The sequence below is a fragment of the Homo sapiens genome, chromosome 12, assembly GCF_000001405.40.
Source record: "Homo sapiens chromosome 12, GRCh38.p14 Primary Assembly".
Classification (NCBI taxonomy): Eukaryota; Metazoa; Chordata; class Mammalia; order Primates; family Hominidae; genus Homo; species Homo sapiens.
In genome coordinates, this window is record NC_000012.12 from 114,094,478 (window position 1) to 114,113,893 (window position 19,416).

Below are 19,416 nucleotides of genomic sequence, written 5' to 3' on the forward strand. Positions count from 1 at the left end.
GGATGGCTGAGATAGTGACACCTTTACTTTTTGATGGTTTGGTATAAACTTTGTTTTGAGCACAAATATCATATAAAGTAACCTTCAGTTGATGGTGTACATGAAATTGTTCTTAGATTTGTCCCACCCAAGATCTCTCATGTGAATGCAAATACTCAAATCCAAAAAAACCTGAAGATACTTCTGTTCCCAAGCATTTTGAATAAGGATATTCAACCCATAGCAGTGACCTGGTTTCTGCCAGTAGACTGGCAGGAGAAGGAAGTTATACCTGCAGGGGCAGCCAAATCTGGTTATGAGGCATGAGTTGTTATATCCTGAGGGCATGGAAAAGGGTGTCTGGATCTTGCAGGAGTCATTGGGGGCACCACTTGGTACTTTCACACCCAGGGAGAACGTTGAATCTTTGCCCTTGATTTCCTTGTCTTTGTCAGGCATGGTTGGAGTTGCTCAAAGATGAGGGTCTGGGTCACTCTACCAGGTACATCTTGTGGAGGGTAAGGGAGATTCCCAGTATAGAACTTTAGAGGTGTGGCTATAGATACACTTCCTGGATGTGAGTGATAAGAAACCGTATTACTGGGGTAATACTGCATAGAAAGATATTTAAGCTTTTTGTCACTGACCCAGTTCCTTTCAAGACAATGCTACCTCCCAAGGCCAAAATGATCTAAAGGCATTTGGAGATAACTCAAGTAGAAGTCTCTTCTGAAAGAACTGTTCCTTAATTGCACTACTTCTATATGGACCCGGGAAGTGCACCTTCAGCTGTCTTTCCCAGATTTCTTTGGTCCCTTCAGAAGTCTTGGATAGTTCAGAACATGGAGGATACAGAGGTTGTGATGTATCCAATAAAGCCTGTGAAGCCCAACAGGTTTCTCAGAGGAAGGTGGGAGATTGAGTGGCATATCTATGTCTACAACACAAAAGACATACCAAGCTGCACGTGCATTCAGTGACTAGAAGCTGTGAGAGCACAGAGGCTCCACCATCTTGCCCTGGAACAGGACTGGAAAAATTCTTGCTCTAGAGCTCCTACAGGGAGGCCAAGGCTTCATCATGCCTGCATCATGGCTTGGCATCTTCTGTACAATGCAGCCTCCTTTCCCCTTTTCACAGGTGTTGATTCCTAATAAATTTTGATCCACCACCCATCACAAATCTTGACTTCATTACAGACTTGGACAGGAACAAGTGGTCCAAGGACATGGAGAGGATCCAGGTGCTGAGCTCCCTCCTGAAGACAGGAAGTATTCCTGGACTCACTTTATATAGTACCTGGAATTTGGGTTTGCTTTTCCCTGTAGGCTTTGGGGTTCCTGTGAAGGCTGGAACTATTTTGCACATACAGACTCCACTGAGTAACTGAAGTTCCAGCCAGAATTCTACTCCTTCAAAGCCTCTCACTCTAGGAAGGGGAACTTGGCCCCCCTTCCCCTTCCTGCCAGCTGGTGACGCCTGGGTACTGCCACCAATCCTGCTCACCTGCCTGCTCTGGAAAAGTCTCAGCTGGGCCTTGGGTTTTAATGACAGGGGTACTTAGCCACAAGAAGAATATACTAGCGCTTTTTACCATCTACACTGATTTTTTTTTTTTTTTTTGAGACAGTCTCACCTCTGTTGCCCAGGCTGGAGTGCAGTGGCACAATCTCGGATCACTGCAAACTGCCTCCTGGGTTCAAGCAATTCTCCTGCCTCAGCCTCGTGAGCAACTGAGATCACAGGCATGCGCTGCCATGCCCAGCTAATTTTTGTATTTTTAGTAGAGATAGGGTTTTGCCATGTTGGCCAGGCTGGTCTTGAACTCCCAATCTCAAAGTGATCCATTTGGCTCAGCCTCCCCCAAAGTGGTGGGGCCTCCCCCAAAGTGGTGGGGTTACAGGCATGAGCCACAGCCTACACTGGTATTTTTGAACATGTGTGTTTTTTAGAGATGGGGTCTCACTACACTGCCCAGGCTGGTCTCAAATTCCTGGTCTTAAGTGATCCTCTCACCTCAACCTCTTAAAGCACTGATCACAGGCATGAGCCACAATATCCAGCCTATTTGTTTCTAAGAAAAACTAAGGCATATTGGGCAATTTCAAGGTATGGTTTTTTTTTTTTTTTTAGGTGAGGGAAGTCATTTTAATATCTTGACCACAGTCTCACTACTTTGGCATTCATGAAGCCATTAGTCAGAGTGTGAATCCAAATCTATTTTAAGCAACCAGAGCATATCTTGCCATGTGGCTTCCACATAAGTCCCAGAGACATTGACCTCTTCTGAGATTTTGTAGGATAGCACAAAACAAGAACCTCTGTTTGAGGACTCAACTGTTAAGATTTCCTATTCATGGTTGAAAAGGTTACAGCATCTAGTTCCGAGTTCTTTATGAAAACTCATGACTGTCTTTGCCTGAACACTGCTGATAAAGTCTCACATGCACAAGAGCAGTTAGGTCTTGTCCGTGTCTTCTACATGGACACTCAGTAGAAGAGAATACCCCATTCAGGAAGGGCTGGTGTCATCTTGGGTCAAAAGATTCTTTCCAAGCTTCTCATCTACAGGCCAACTCCGATTCGTATTCTAGATAAGTTCTTAAGAGTTGATGAACAAGAATTCACTGACCAAGACTGATGTCTCTGAAATTCAAGACAGATGAGCTGAATGAAGTTCAGCACTGCATTCTCTATAAGACATCTTAGGGTAGGGGGGACGCACCCATTTAGCCCGTGGCTGTTCCTCCTGCAGCTCTGCAACATGGCCCAACCCTGCAAGTGAGGGAGCAGGTCCAGCCTTGGAGTAGCAGGCAGGAAGTTGTATTTCTCAGGAAGCTGGTAGAAAGCCTTTTGCAGCTTGTCCCAATGATCCGAGTGGTGCCAAAATGAAAGTGAAAAGAGTACAGAGTGCACATTGTGCACATTACCCTAAAACAAAGTATAATAATAATAAAAAAAGAAAGGAGTACAGAGTGGAAGAGTAGTTGAGTCTTGATACTCGCAGTATAAGAACAAAAAGCCTCCTGCACCTGATATGTCAAAGACCATCTAAAGTTAGCCAGGCATAGGTGTGTGTATGCCTGTAGTCTCAGCTACTCAAGAGGCTTAGGTGAGTGTGACTTGAGCTTGGGAGGTTGAGGCACAGTAAACATGCCATTGCATTCCAGCCTGGGCAACAGACTCTGCCTATAAAAGAAACACTACATAAAAGCACCACAGAGTGGGAAGGTATCTGAAGGTGAAAGGAAATCCAACCTGCTCCAGGAAAGCAGAGCTGATGGCAGTGGGTTCAGAAAGGCTGACCTGCAGTCTAGGGCACAGCCCAGTCCCCACTCCCTCTACCTGGCTCGGCCATTCATGGTAAGTGTGGTCAGAAAGACTCTAGTTAGAAAAGACAATGTCAAAACCAAGTCCACATCATTTCTGCCCCTCAGAGAGCCCAAGTTTGTCCAAAGTGATAGAAGTAGAGTCCCAAATATTACTATTGACTCTGCTGACTGTAAAGGAGAACAATCTTGCTTAGTTCAAAGGCAGAGCAGTATGTAGAAAGCAGCTACAGAAAAAAGCTGAAGCACAGGCCTCAGCTAGAGGCAGTGGGAGCTGGCAGAAAGCTCAGCCACCAAATTGAGATGCTCAGCCCCTTTGAGGAAGTAGCTGAATGCTTTAAGGAATAATACAACATGTTTGCCATGGCCCTGGACACCAGGCATGAGCTGCCTGTGAGACTGAGCCACCTGGAGGAAGATGGGCAGCGATTCTTAGGTATCTTCCCAAAGCAAGTTCAGCTGCCCTTGAGTTTGGTTGTTTCTAAGAGTTCTCACAGGTCATCTAAATTTTGCTTGAGACTGTTGCAATAGAACATCACTCCCCGAAATCCACAGGTAAGACTTCCCCTGCAGAGCTCTCCATTGAATTAATCTGAAGCAGAACGCAACACAGTCCTCCCAGATCCCAAATGATGTTGCTGGATTGACAGCTTAAGTGATTTTTGAAGTTTTCCAATGAAGATTTTATATATACAGTTACCAAACAGGAGTGACAGCACAGTCGAGTAGGCAAGGTCAGGGTGTTTGTCAGAAGATGACTTGGACAAGGTTCGGTGGATCTAAGAATGATACCAAGAACTGCAGCAGGCTTACGGAGACACAGGACACTTAAGCAGCTTGGGTGCCAAAATATAGCCAGATTTCCAGCTGTTGTGATAGCTTTTGGTTGTTTTGCCACATTTGTATGCTTCTTTTGTCTGTTTTGTATTGAAGTGACTGTTGAAACTAAAGGTAAAAGGATAAGTGATAATGGAAAGCTTTGAATGAGACTCAGGTTTTTGACTCAACCACCAATTTCTTTTCAACTCCTAACACATAGGTGAGACACTTGTGTTAGGATTTGATAGAGCCTTGCCTATCAAATTGGCTCCATGAGTGTTAAGTTCTCATCAGTAATTCGAACTCAAGGCTGGGTCTACCATTGCTTAGAGTGACTATGAGGACATTCCTCCCTAGATCACAGTTATTGAAGTAGGATACTTCCCTGACCCCTTCGTGGGACTCATGACAGGGATGCCTTGTTTACTCAGCCTGCCACTCTCAACTCCTCGAAGGAAGGAGCATGCAAGTGAACAAGGTGGGGACTGGAGTGCATGAGCACTGGAATTGATTGGCAGCCTTGTTGCGGGCAGGATCACACTCCACTCACTCAGACTCACTGCTGCATTCCACCCCTCATGGGAGGGGGAGGGCAGGTGAGTGAGTGCAGGAGCCAGAGCGAGCACTTTTGAGCGCTGGCAGGAGCGAACTTTGCTCAAGCCCCCGGCAGCATCTAGGCAGGGTGCCTGTGACTTCTGAAGCCCCAGGAGGTGTGTCACAGTGCTCTTTTAGCTCTGCTGTCTATGGATGGTCTTAACAGCTCAATGGGCCCTCCACTCTTTCACATAAGGCAGCTGCCCTCTGCCAGAGAGGGCAAAGGGCCAGCTGACAGCTTTTTGTATCCACACTGGTGGCTCCTGAGCTCATCTGACTTCCAGAAAAAATGAGGTTGCATGAGTGAATTGATGGATGGTAAATGCAGGGGATTTTATTGCCAATGAAAGTGGCTCTCAGCCCTAAGGGGAGCTGAAAAAGGGTAGGGTGGGTTGGTAATCTTCCCCTGGAGTCTGGCTGTCTCTGGCTGGATTCTTCTCTGAAGCTATGCCATCAAGCTATTCCTCTGAAGCCAAGCCACTTCTGATGTCTGGCCATAGTCCCTGATGTCCAGCTACTTCTCTCTGCCAGCTGAGTCTGGGATCTTTATAGGCACAGGATGAGGGCAGGGCAGGTCATGGGTAGTTTAGGAAAAGGCAACATTCAAGCTGGAAAACAAAGATAAAATTTCTCACTTTGGGCCATAGTTTCAGGCCTTTCAGCTTGCAGGTGGAGTTTTGTTGTGGACCTACCCCTTTTCTGCCCAGAATTTCTCTGCCCCCATCCCTATCATTAGGAGGGTCTCTCCAAGAGAGTTTGTGTTTGGAGATACCACAAACAAAATCCCAGAATCATGAAAATTGTTTTCTGCAGCTGCTGAAATAAGTAGGCATAAGCCTATAGCCACTAGAACATGATTTCAGTATAAAAACTTCTTTCTGGTTTCAAGATTCCTATTAGTCAGGGAAATCTCAGTCAAGAGTAGTGAACAGGCCTTGGAAGCTGAACTCAGGTGCATGCAAATCCTGGTTCTTTCACATGTGTCATGTGACACTTACTAGATTCTAAGCCCTAAGCTTAAGTTTCTAGAAGCAGGAAGGGGGATTTTCATACCAGCCAGTTTATAGCTTAAGAGCACGGGAAGCATCTAGAACAGATCTATAGTAAGCATTTATTTTTTGAGTAATAGAAAGTTCTTCCATGATTCTATCAGATTATTTGCAGTGAGAATATGAATAAGTCTTGATTTGGATCCAGTTATAGTATTAGCAGTCCTTTCTAGTCTTTCAGAATACCTTTAATATTGTGAAGACCAGGCAGATAGTCTAGGTTGACATCTCCTGAAAACTTGATCTTTTTCCCCTTCTTGGGAAGCAGCAGTCCCAGCATGGAGCCCGGATTAATTTGGGCTAAGATGTGGCCTTTTCAAGTCCTTACCCCAGTTGGGAACAACATATAGGTGCCAGCTGGCTTTGCCCGTTAATACCCTTCTGTGAATTTCCTGGCTTTAAGTGCCAGAAAGTCATTTATTAGGTAAATGGAGGATGCCCTGAAAATTTACCTGCTATCAACAAAGTCTGTATTCAAAGTCCAGCTCTCTGAAAAAAACCCTCTTCTGAAACCAGCCTGAGAGCCCTAATCTCTTGCTGGGTCTCAGCTACTAGTGACTATTAAGGGCAAAAACCTCTAGCATATGGTTTTTATATAAGCCTGAGTGTTCTTAGAGCTGAGCTGTTAAACATGAGTTCCTTTGTCAGATGGATAGATTGCAAAAATGTTCTCCCATTCTGTAGGTTGCCTGTTCACTCTGATGATAGTTTATTTTGCTGTGCAGAAGCTGTTTAATTAGATCCCATTTGTCAATTTTGGCTTTCGTTGCCATTGCTTTTGGCATTTTAGTCATGAAGTCTTTGCCCATGCCTATGTCCTGAATAGTATTGCCTAGGTTTTCTTCTAGAGTTTTTATGGTTTTTAGGTCTTATGTTTAAGTCTTTAATCTGACAAAGGGCTAATATCCAGAACCTACAAGGAACTCAAATTTACAGGAAAAACAACCCCATCAAAAACAGGGCAAAGGATATGAACAGATACTTCTCTAAAGATGACATTTATGTGGTCAAACATGAAAAAAAGCTCATCATTGGTCATTAGAGAAATGCCAATCAAAACCACAAGGATATTCCATCTCACACCAGTTAGAATGGCAATCATTTAAAAGTCAGGAAACAGATGCTGGAGAGGATGTGGAGAAATAGGAATGCTTTTACACTGTTGGTGGGACTGTAAGTTAGTTCAACCATTGTGGAAGACAGTGTGGCGATTCCTCAAGGATCTAGAACCAGAAATACCATTTGACCCAGCAACCCCATTACTTGGTATATACCCAAAGGATTATAAATTATTCTATAAAAACACATGCACATGTATGTTTATTGCAGCACTGTTCACAATAGCAAAGACTTGGAACCAACCCAAATGCCCATCAATGATAGACTGGATAAAGAAAATGTGGCACATGTACACCATGGAATACTATATAGCCATAAAAATGACGAGTTCATGTCCTTTGCAGGGACATGGATGAATCTGGAAGCCATCATTCTCAGCAAACTAACACAGGAACAGAAAGCCAAGCACCACATGTTCTCACGCATAAGTGGGAATTGAACAATGAAAATACATGGACACAGGGAGGGGAACATCACACACCAGGGCCTGTTGGGGAGGGTGGGGGACTAGGGAAGGGATAGCATTAGGAGAAATACCTAATGTAGGTAATGGGTTTTTGGGTGCAGCAAACCACCATGGCATGTGTATACCTATGTAACAAACCTGCGCTTTCTGCACATGTATCCCAGAACTTAAAGTATAATAAAGAAAAAAAAAAACAACGTGAGTTTCCACAAGTCAGACTTTCAACACCAAACAAGTTCCTGGTTTCCAGTGGCTTCCAAAGGGTTCTCAGATAACATCCTGACTTGCTCAAAGCTCCATATGATCAGACTCCCTGTCCACATGGCCAATAACCCTCCTTATAGGTACTGTCTTCCACCAATTGGAAACTGTGAGACTAGTTTTTTTGTTTGTTTTGCAGGTAAGACTGTCATTCTTTGCTTTTATGATAATCTAGTCAAAAGCAGACAGCAAAATTCTAAGGACAATGACATAATAAGTTGAATTGTTCCAGAATGGAGCCAACACCGACTTTAATAAAAAGTTATTGGTAACTGTCTCAAGAGGTCACACTGAAGACCTCTGAGAAGTTTCCAGAATTGAAGTTCCCAGGTTTTACAATCTGTCCCCAGTGAAAAGGACAAGTGCCTAGGCAGGTAAAGGGCATGTGTTTCCCACTGGCAATGTTGGAGACAATCTGTTCTCATAGGCACCTTCCTCACATATCCCTGTTGTCTATAGACCTTCGAAGAACTTTACAGGCTCACCAAGAGACTGACCACTGCTTTGGGTTTAAGTCAGTCTTAGATTTTGGTAGACTTGACAGTCAAGGACTGCTCCCTCAGCCCAGTTCACAGATTTTCCCTGAGGTCCAATTGGGGTATCAGATGCCCAGTGGCCAATACTGAAGCAACAGATGCAATGAGCCACACACATTTTGAATGAACTAGTATTTGATTCCGTAACTCTGACCCAAAATCAAGATAGTTTCTAGACCTAAGTTTAAGCAAAACCACAGGTGGTCAAAGTGAACAAGAGTAGAAAGTAGAGAAATAATTGGGCAAGTTTAAGACTTTAGATGGATTGACCCTCCCAAAGAAGACACTGGATCCTAAGTCAAGGAACCTACAGCTGTATTTTGGAAGAGAGGACTGATAATGTCATGTGCTTCATTTAGCCTATCCCTCTAGGGGAAAAGAAACATAGGGAAGTACTTCTCACCATACTGGGCAGTGGATTTGAGGCATTGCAGAATTACAAAGCATTCTTACTCATTCTCAGCCTGATCCTTTTGACAGGAATGGTTCTTCTCAGGATAAACCATGAAGTTTGGGTAGCAAAGACCTAGTTCCAGACCTGGGCTACAGAGACCATGACATAAGAGGGTTTAGCTGGGAATGAACAATTGTTCTGTGTTCATAACTTCCAGATTTGTAATAGCCAGAGCTAGTATGGCTTGGTCTTTTGCCTTATCACTTTAGGTGACATTTGAGGCTGGAATTGGAAGCCAAAACACTGCAGGATGGAGTTCTCTGCTCAGGATTACTCAGCTTAAATGAATGCTGGGAAAATTCCTGGACCATTCCAGGAGGCTGCAGAAGGAATACCTGATCATATTCCTGGAATTTGTCACCTTGTCATGATTACCACAAACGTATCTTGGAGCTGGCATCTTCTCCAGGTCCTAAGACTTCTGTCAGCCTAATGACAGCCAGATCCCTTTCCATCAGCCAACAATATTTGATGTGATACTTGGAACTGAAGATTACAAAGATTGGAAAGACTTGATGCAGGTTTCCTTCACCATAGCTAAGAACTACCTTTTTCATGTATTTCTGGTTTTCTGCTATTGACAATGTGCATTTTGAACAGAATTATAGAGCTTTCTATTATATTTAGCATTAAGGTCCTCATTTCCAAAAGTTATTCTCTTATATAAAGGAACCAGGACAGCTTCAAAAAATGGTAGTCTAAGGTGAATAAAATTATGAGAAAAGTGCTTGAAGAGAAACATTGAGAGCACAGCCGGCTTGAAAGTGTTCCTCCCTAACAAAATTTGGTATAACTTATGACAAGATAACCTGATGCATTGCTTCTAGAAAGGCCCTCTGATAGGAGTACTATATAGGTGTTGGATAAACTCAAACAAAACAAGGAGACAATTTCAGTAAGTCAAGTTGATATGCCTTTGGATTCTTCAAAAACTTAAGTCTTAGAAAAAACCGTGTAGGGGGAGTATTTTATCAGTCTCCTTTAAGATCCTGCTTTCCAATCCATACATGTAGCCTCAAGCCTTAGAAGGGACCAAGGTGGAGACCCCCACCTGCAAGCAGATGCCACAGTTGACCTAACACCCCCTCATAAACCTCATACAACCTGAAGGTTACCTTTCCCCATGAGTCTATTGTGTCTCCTAATGAGCATGACACTCCTCAATATAGGTGCCCTAAAGAACAGCTGTCTCAGAGCTGGTGATCAAGTAGTAACAAGACCAGACCCTTCCTGCCAATCAGTGAAAAGTAGGTACTGCCCTAGACTTTACCTGTCTGCTCTAGACACAGGAATACTCCCAAATGAACCTTGCTTTTGAGAAAGGCACTTAGATGAGACATGGTAGAAGGCAGCTTCATTAGATAGTGGCCCTTCTAGAGCTAAAGATGGGAGGGAAGTAGAGTACTGAGGAGCATACCAGGCTGCTTCTCACTTTTGCCATCTAGAACACCTTCCACCATGGCCACCTCAAGTTCCCACTTGAACAGAGGGGTCAAACAAGAAACAAGTTCCTGATTCAGGGTGGGTGCTGTGGTTTGTGTCCCCTTTAAGATTTGGGTATTGAAACTTAAAGACAGTGTGTGATAGTATTAAGGGTGAAGACTTTAACAGGCAATTTGGCAGTGGGGGCTCAGGCCCTCATGAGTGGGGCTTCATAGAAGATTTGGCTCTTTTGCTCTGTCCACTGAGTGAGGACACAGCAACAAGGCACCATCTTGGAATCAGAGCAGCCCTTATACAATTGAATCTGATTCCTTAGCATCGGATTTCCTAGCCTTCAGAACTGTATGAGAAGTTGTCCTAAGTCACCCGGTCTGAAACATCCTGTTATAGCAGCCAAAATGGACTAAGACAGTGGGAAAGTCCAAGCCATGTATGTTTGGATTGATGGCATCAGAAGAGGATCATGCTATGAGGTCCACCCCCAGGACAGCAGGCCCAAGTGTGTACAGTGAGTGGAGTTGATGGCTCTAGTGCTTTTCAATCTGAAGCCTGTAACAGTGACATCTCATCCCTGCTGCCATTTTGGGACTCTTCCTACAAGGACCCTAGCCAGCTGGTGTTCTGTGAAGTCTAAGTATACCCCAAAACCTATGAAAGGTCAGTTTAAGACACGCCTGTAAATAGGTAAAGACATGGTGAACAACCAGCATCCCTGATTTGGAATGCAACAGGAATATATTTCTTATAGCAGATGGGCATCCCTTCAGTTTGCCTTCCAATGAATTCCCTGGGTCCCAAGGTTCATATTGCTGCAGTGCAAAAGTAGACGTACTACCACAAGAATATCAAGGAGGCTCACTACCAAGTCTATTTATATATGGGCATGAGGATGCATGCCAAGGTCATGAAAGCCCAGTGGGAATTTGATAGAGAAATGTGGAACAATTACATAGTGAGATCCTCTCAGGGTAGTCCATTTCATCTTGCATTGTGTGAAGACTTTGGAGCAATAGATTAGGATCAAAGGTGGTTATTCTTGGTAACTAGAATAGTGCAGGAGGTCATCCCAACTTCAGCACCAAGGCCATGCAAGAGAAGGTTGAAGTACATTGAGGCAGCCATTGAAAGACTAAGCCACTGATATCAGTGGCCAGATTCAGGTTTATGATCCCAAGGTGGTCCTGGACAATACCAAATGCCTAGCCAGATTCACAAAACCCGCAGCCATTAACTTCCCTGCTGGCATGGTCACCCATGGGGCCTGCGTCCCCCTTCCCTGGGCCATTGACCAGGAGAATGTTAACTGAAGACCATCTGTGGTCACATCTGTGAGCTCTTCAGTGACAGAAGCCCTCATTTACACATCAATGATGCCAGCATTGAACTCTTCCAATACGGAAGCTGAGTGGACCACACCTTACCTTTCAAAGTCTTCCCACTTCATCCTACTCTCAACTCTCCCATTGTCCTAGTAGCTGTTAGGTAAAAGGTAGAACGTCAAGGTCTGTTTTTCATACCCAGTTATTAACTCCTGCTTTAGCTGGCCAGGATGGAGAGAACATGTTTTAATGTAATGTTCACTTTTTCCTCTAATCACTGAAGCTTTCTAGTGATTTTTAGTGATGGGGGTGAAAAAAAGTGACCCCTGATTCCATGGAATCAGGTATGTTTGCCCAACAGATGTAGCTATCCAGAGAAGTATATCTGGAGGATTTTTCTTTAAGATTGATGAAAGGGGAAGGTCTGATGGTTAGGTTAGGATTTATCTTGGAAAGTTGGTTAAAGTAGAAAGTTGGTTAAAGGAAAAGGAGAACTAGAGATTGAAGAAAATGTCCTTGGTCTCTTACTGTTTCCCATGCTTGAGTCTAAGTGCCTCTGTTGGGGAAAACACTTCTATTCAATACTTATCCCAGAAGACTTCTGTAACCAAGAGTGTAGGGGTTTCTCCAACAAGTAGTCAGTCCTGCAGTGGATATCAGCTGAGGATCCAATTTAAATTGACACTATCCACCTGGAGTTAGCATCCCATCCAGATTGAAAGCTCAATCCCACAGGACTGCCCCCCTCTCCCCACCAGGCAGAAGTCTGGGCCTTCAGAACTCCTGATTAGCATTCAATTGGGATCTACCATGAATTGGATTCAGTGAATTTGGTAGAGCAGCTTGGGGAACTCAGCAAAACTTATGTTTGTTTTATAAAGATTACAAAGGAAACAGACACACATAGGCTAAATATGGCAGAAGAGGTATGAAGCTGCCATGCCTTCCCTGGGCCACCTTCCAGGGAACTCCACATGTTCAGCTGTCTAAAAGCTCCCCAGATCTGGTCCTCTTGGACCTTTCATGGAGACATGAGATGGCTGTGACTGACAACCATGTAGAAATGTGATTGGATAAAGATTATCTGAACAGGGAAACTCAGCAAGGCCTAACTCTTCCAATTCTTCCCAACATCTCTGTAGCATTCCTTCCCTCCAAAGTGTGGGGCAGGACCCCTTTTCTCAGATGGGGTCTTGTGGCCTAGAAATCAGACAATAAGGTCTGATAATTCCTTTTATCGCTAGCTCCAAGACAGGAAGGCAGGGGAAGATTCCTGCCGTGGGGAGAGAAAGGCAATGAAAAGGCAGTAGGAGAATGAGATTGTTTTGAGGCCTGCTTCTAAGGTCTAAAATGCTTCTGAGGTCTAAAAAGTCCTATCAATGTCCTTGCCTGAAGGCAAAGTTCAGAGTATAAGCTGGTTGATCTCTATCCTAAAAAAATCTTATTGGTTGGTTTTTCGTTTAGGTTTTTATTAAGTATAAAAACAGGTCATCCACACATAGCAATGTGCTTTTCTAGAGAAAACCATCCTACTCACCGAGAGCCAGGATTGAGGTGAGTAATCTGGTTAGACATAAGGATCTCCTTTTGAGTGAGGATCCGGAAGGTGGTCCTTAAAAGTTGGCTATTTGGGTCTGCTATTCCCTCATTACCACTTAAGGGTTTCCTGTGCCCTGCTTATTCTGGAGAGGTAGACACTGGTCATATCTATAGCAGCCACCTGAGCCCCATGGCTGTAGTGTAAAAGACACCTGTACTTGTATACAAAAAAAGTTTAGAAATGTTCGACTTGAACATGTTACTGACAAGGGAGTAAAGACTGGTTATTTTCTGATGGCACTGGTTATTAAAGCAGACCTGAAAAAAGTAAGTGATAGCAACCCTTCTATTGGCATATTGCTTTCTAGGATGCTACTTGAGTTTCTTAATTTAGGAAAACATGCTTTTAATTTCATTGCAAGATTTCTAACCACATCAGGGAATACTACTTTATCCAATATGTGAGCTACATTCTCATTATGATAGAAAGTGTATCCCCAGACGCATCCTGTAAGAAGACTGGAGTTCAAAGTATTTCAAAGGACAGAAGAAATCAAAATGTGGCTCATGCAGTTGTTTTAGACTTTTGCCTTCCTCCATCACTGGGCCAAGTGGACCTTCCAAAGTTTCCTTGGATCCTTCTATAAGACCAACCCTAATTCGTGTTTAGGAAATTACACTGAGCACTTTAGGAAAACTGGGCCTTTATGATACTTAAGCTAAAAGAATAATTCTGTCTCCCTTCATGTAGCTCTAGGACCATAAGACAAGACTGCTTGAAGTGTTAGGTTTCTAGTTCTATAATCCCCATAGCCAACTAGTCTGCCTCCCCATGAGTCAACAAGGTGTTTGGAGAGATGGCGTCAGCTATGTTCGTTGAGACCAACAGACAGGCAGATGTAGAGATTGCCAATGTATGTCCTCAAAGTAATCCCTCGCCATGTTAGAGATGGGTAAGAAAGTCATTCAGGAAGAAACTTAAGAGTAGTTCAGCAATGCCTCTAGAAAGGCTTAAGACACAGCAAGAATTCTTGGTTTAATCCTTCACCAAGTTTCTTGTGAACCCTTCAGTCCAAAGGTCTGCAAGACATTGCCTTCAAGAAAAGGCAAAAGTTCTGAAGTCCTACAGTAGTGGCCCGAGAGGTTAAGTCAGTATGTGGCTCAAGATGGCCTGCGTTACATGATATAGGTCTCCACGGAGATAGTTATTGGTTCACCTAAAACCTTTCAGGTAACCAGACCAACCCAGCAACAAGGGAAAGAGATTTCTGTAGAAGTTACCCACATGCAGTCCCTCACTCCCCAAACTAAGGACAACATTTATGCTGTCAACGTCCAGAAATCCGATTTAGTGATAAGAGTCCATAGAGAAGGAACCTCATAGAAGTAGCCACGAGGGCACTCAGGTGAGGCTACAACCAGATTCAGTTGCCACTGCAGCATCTTCAACAAGGTCAAATCTGTTCAGAGTTGGCCCCAGTGACTGATGGGTCCTTATCCTAAGCCTGATGCTCAGTGCCACACAGACATGGGAGAATAAGCAACTTTACCTTCTCTGGGTTCTGACTTGATACCCCCCATAGTGGCTCCTGCTCCAGGACCCAGGATAAAGGCACTCTCAGAAGGAAAGTTAGAGAAAAGATATACCTGTTTATTCTGCAAGTGTAAATGAAAGGTTAAGTAGAATAAACGTAAATGATAGCATGGGCATGCAATAAGATATACAAAGTGGGACAAATCTGTGGAACAGCCAGCCACCTTTTTGAGAAGTATGTGATGGGAAGAAAAAGAAACCTGCAGTTTAAGACATAGCAACTTACTAGATAAGGTAGCATGAGGAAAAACAGGTAACAACCAACTATGTTTTAAGGTTATTTGAATCAGGATTTGACTTGATTTGAATCAGGATTCAAATAAAAAGTCAAGACATGTATGACACTTGGAATCTGAAGTTTGGAAACTGATGGGTTATATCTAGTGATAAACTGGTTAAGCTTCTTTTTAGGTATTGAAGTATTACATGATGGCTAAAAACCCTTTAGAGATATCTGAGTAGGTTGAGGGCTAACATTGGCTTCAAATGACTCAGGGAAAGTAGATGGGGGCACATATGAAACAAGACTAGCCACGAATGGTAATTGCTGGCTGTGGGCATTTGAAAGTTAGAGCTACTGTCTAGTTTGACATGTCTGAGGACTTAAGTTTAAACAAAGCTTCCAGGCCACCTGAAAGGCCAGGACAGTTTTGGTTTACATAGATTCAGGGACTACAGGAAAGGTAAACATTCTAGGGGACTGCAGACAGCTGTTTCATTCCTTGGTTCAAGGAGAAGAATTTCTAGGGAGTTGCAGAACTTATTCTACTGAAATCTCACCTTGAGAAGATCTGAATGCTTTTGTTTTCATTTTGGCTAAAAGGATATCCATAGGCCAATTGGAGGCCCTTGTGCTTGACACTGAGTCAATATCAGGGAAGTTGACACCAAATTTGTTCACTTTGACATTCACTATTAGAATTCTAGTACAAGTGACCCCATGGCAGTGACAGAGCATTCCCCTAACTCAATGGGAGGGGAAAGCTGCAACCCAGGACAGTGCTGATACCATCAAGGGGCCTGCCCAATGAAGCCTGGATGGAAGCTTATACCAAGTCTGCACATGCAGATAGATTCTGGAGTCAATGTGAGGGATGACTTGCTGAGGAATAGCATGCAAAGGATGCCCAAGGAAATGTAGATTGGAGCCCTGCCCTCCTTAAGACAGATATCCATATTCATGCCAAGCATATACTTTGGCATTAGTCTTTCCTGAAGCCATGTTTGGCTAGGATTAAGGACTTCCAGCCTTCTTGAAGATGACAATATCTAAGTCTGGTTAAGTAAATTTTACTTAAAAGTAGCTTCGATATTATAGAAAATAGGTAAAATACTAGGTAAACCATAGGATCAAGATTCATCCCAGACATAACCAAAGGAAAAAGCCAGCTTTCCAAAGGATAGGAGTTCAACTATGTTATCAACCTCTGTTTCATCAATAGTGGGGCTTCTGCTGTGTCTCTAGATGATGCCTTAAGAAACACCCACTCCCCGTGAGGGATGTTACCAAGAAGTCAAGAACCACCAGTAACTTTGAAAAGTCCAGGTTAGTCATCTTTAGTTAATGCACATTCTGGATTAGTCGGTCATAAGAATGTGACAGAAGCATGGAAGGGGCTAGTGTAAATATTAAGGTCCTACCTTCTAGACCTGTAGAAGTGCTTGGACATGACACCACTCAAAAGAAAATGCTATCTATACTACACTCTCCCTGTGGGACTGATTGTCAGAACATATGGAGAAAGGCAAGTTCACAGGTGGTATTCAGCACCTTTAGTGATGGGGACGTTTTGATGGGAGAGATTTACAAGGCAGCCCAAGCTGTCATGCAGATGGAGTTAGTGATGACCATGAAGTGAGAAACTGGACACTTCCCATCAATTGCTGAAAATCTGGCACTGGCCACAAGCTTCAGACTTTCTTCTGGGCTCAGAAACAAGTCCAGGTACACTTAGTTTAATAAACGTGAAGGGTACCCAGTTGAAATAGTGGTCCATTAAGAAAGCTGCTTTCTATTAACATCTTACCTTCCAAGCTGCTACTTCATTTATTTCTGGAGAGATAACTAAAGAAGCCTATTGAGTGCTTCTAGTTTTGCTGTAATGCTCCTAAACTCAGATCATGAAGCTAGTCCATTTCATGTGAAGTCAGCTCTAGTTCACATTATTCTTTGGCCTGGTAATCACAAAAGCATTAGATAGCAACTGCACTACCATAAATTTGGAAGGACTAGAAGAATCGGGGCTCATGCTAGCTGTTCTTAGAGGTCCCACAAGAGAAGTTTCTTCATCTTCAGAGAAGGGGACATTCCAGCATTTCCCTGCTTCTTTCATTCCAGAGTAATCCACTTACTGATCTCCAAGAATCCATAAGCTGGTACATCAGGATAATAGGGCTAAGAAATGTAAACCGGATAAAGAGTCCTTGATCTCCTTTTCCAGGAGGCACCAAGACCATCAGAAAACAAAGTTGTTCTTCCTTAGTGTCAAGTTTCTCTAATCCCAAAGCTTCCATGGCCAACCAGTCTGCTTCCCCATCATGAAGCACAGGCATTTAAGAAGTTTATGTCAGCTTATTTGAGAGCCAATAGAAATAGATTTGGTGAAGACTATGAAGACAAATGTTTTTCCAAAGTCTTCCCTTTGTAACCCTTGTAAGAGATGGGCAAGAGACATTCAGGAAAGCTGGAATGGTAAACAGATTAACAATGCCTCTGGAAAGCTTACAACAGTAACAAGAACTTATGGCCTCTACCTATTGGCTTCTAGGGGTTGAGCCAAAACCTTTACTCCAAAGGCTTGATAAGCATAGGTGTAAGCAAGGGGACAAGACCAGAAATCCTATAGCAGCAACCTCAGTTTTTCTACCTCTTCTGAGTTCTTGACTTAATGTGAATCAAGATGGTCAGTTGGTAGTAGACATCTCCTTGGAGATGCAACTGGTTGGGTTTATTCAAAACTTGATCAAGTACCTAAACCCACCTTGCTTCAAAGCATGATTGATCTGTCTTCTAGTTATCTACATGCAGTGTTTGAAACAAGTTCCCACCCCAAGAGGGCTTCTATCAGCTGTCTTCTGGTTTTCTCAGAGATAGCCCTCCAGGTTAGCCTCTATCTTCAATGAAGCTATTAGTGTTTAATGCCCCTTTTCCCATAGCCTCTGTAGTGCTTGCGAGTGCCCTTTGGCCTGAACTTCTCCACACCACTGCATATGAAGTCAGTTCTTTTGAGGAGGGATTTGGAGCTCTGTTCTATTTCTCTCCACACTAAGGAAAAATGCAAGCTGTGACTAGTGCTAGGGATAACAATGGGAAGCCTAGACACCCCTTTTTAGGAGACCTTGATGAAAGGTGAAGAGCAACTCCAGGTTTCCTCAGCTTGCCTCTGTGTGAAACCCCTGCATTGTGAGCCCTAGTATTCTTAACACCTAGCCCAAGATAGAGCCTCTATCCCATAAATGGGAGCTGGATAGAAGACAAGAGCCCTACCTTCCAGCCAAGCACACATGGGATTAGCCTCAGCAACAGGTAGGCTAGAGGCAGGACAAGAAATCCTTATGTTCTGCCCCTCCATGAAAAGTAGCCCTCCAAATGGGAGCTGGGTGGGTGCAGGGGAGTCCCTTGCTCTTGGCTGTCTCATGTTGGAGTGTATTTTCTCACACTGAGCTGAGCTGAAAAGCAGGTGTAGATCTTGAGTTTGTGGTATTTGAACCAAGTTCTTAAGTTTTAGATTAATTCTTACTGTATGACCTTAGGGCCATTTCAGAGACCAAGTGGATTTAAGCAATTTTTGACAGTTTCATGGGATAAGGTTCACTATCAAGATTTTCATTGCCTTGGGAAAGTAGAACTCAGCATGACTCTGTTCATGAGCATGCATACAAATTGTTTACTTCAGAGTAATGCATGATGGGGAATTTCCTTGAATAAACCAATGAAAGATTGAGACTTTGCGAGGATACTTAGGTCAGGGGGCTTATACAGTACAATGTGGAACACTTGCCTGGGTCTGTCTTCATACTTCCAGATAGCGTTGGGTACTTTTGTAAAGGCATTTGATATGGTTTGTCTGTGTCCCCACACAAACCTCACCTTGAATTGTAATAACCCCACGTGTCGAGTGGAACCAGGTAGAGATATTTGAATCATGGGGTCAGTTTCCCCTATACCGTTCTCATGACAGTGAGTTCTCATAAGATCTGCTGGTTTTATAAGGGGTTTCCCCTGCTTCATTTGGCTCTCATTCTCCTCTTGCCTGCTTTCGTGTAAGACATGCCTTTATTCCTCCTTGCCTCCCACCATGATTGTGAGGCCTCCCCAGCCATGTGGAACTGTGAGTCAATTAAATCTCTTTTTCTTTGCAGATTACTCAGTCTCGGGTATGTGTATCAGCAATGTGAAAACGGACTAGTACATCTCTAGAGGCACATGCCATGTGGTCCAGCCATAATTATTTGTTGTCACAACTAAGTTTCCTTTCTATATGAAAAGATTATATTGATCAGAATTCTAAATGTCTTATGTGTTTTTTAATAGAAAGTTTCCATTATATCAACACAAGGTCCCTGCTAATCATGAGGGGGTCTGTATATGCATAGGGTAGTTGACATAAACCAAGAATGGTGACTTCAGTAACATTCACCATTGGGTCATTTTCTAATTGATGTAACCCAGTGACAATGACAGTGTTCCCCTAACCAGGGGGGAACTTACAACTCAGCACCAGTGCAGACACCAGAAATAGGCCTGTCCCACATGGCAGGAGGCTCCTACCAAGTCTGTACCTGCAGGTAGATGTGAGAGTTAAGGTCAGGGAGAACTCACCAAGGAACAATGGCACCCATTCCAAGAGCTCTGCATTCCAAGACAGATTTCCATGTTTATGCTCCCAGTTGTCAGATCTTTACCCAAGAAGAG

The 19,416-nt window shown here is 43.4% G+C and overlaps 1 long non-coding RNA gene and 2 pseudogenes across 4 annotated transcripts in view; all 3 read left to right on the forward strand.

Moving 5' to 3' along the window:
- LOC105369995 (uncharacterized) overlaps window positions 1-19,013 on the forward strand; it is a 36,373-nt gene extending 17,360 nt beyond the window's left edge. Inside the window, exons 3-5 of one of the 4 annotated variants that reach the window (NR_188422.1) lie at window positions 12,833-12,922; window positions 15,944-16,047; window positions 18,864-19,013. This is a non-coding gene — a long non-coding RNA (uncharacterized LOC105369995). The remainder of the gene's footprint in view (window positions 1-12,832; window positions 12,923-15,943; window positions 16,048-18,863) is intronic. The other 3 variants (NR_188424.1, NR_188423.1, NR_188425.1) reach the window with 3 other exon arrangements.
- On the forward strand, window positions 3,175-3,746 carry HAUS8P1 (HAUS augmin like complex subunit 8 pseudogene 1; annotated as a pseudogene).
- Window positions 10,457-11,445, forward strand: GLULP5 (glutamate-ammonia ligase pseudogene 5; annotated as a pseudogene).
- Window positions 19,014-19,416: the final 403 nt, after the last annotated feature.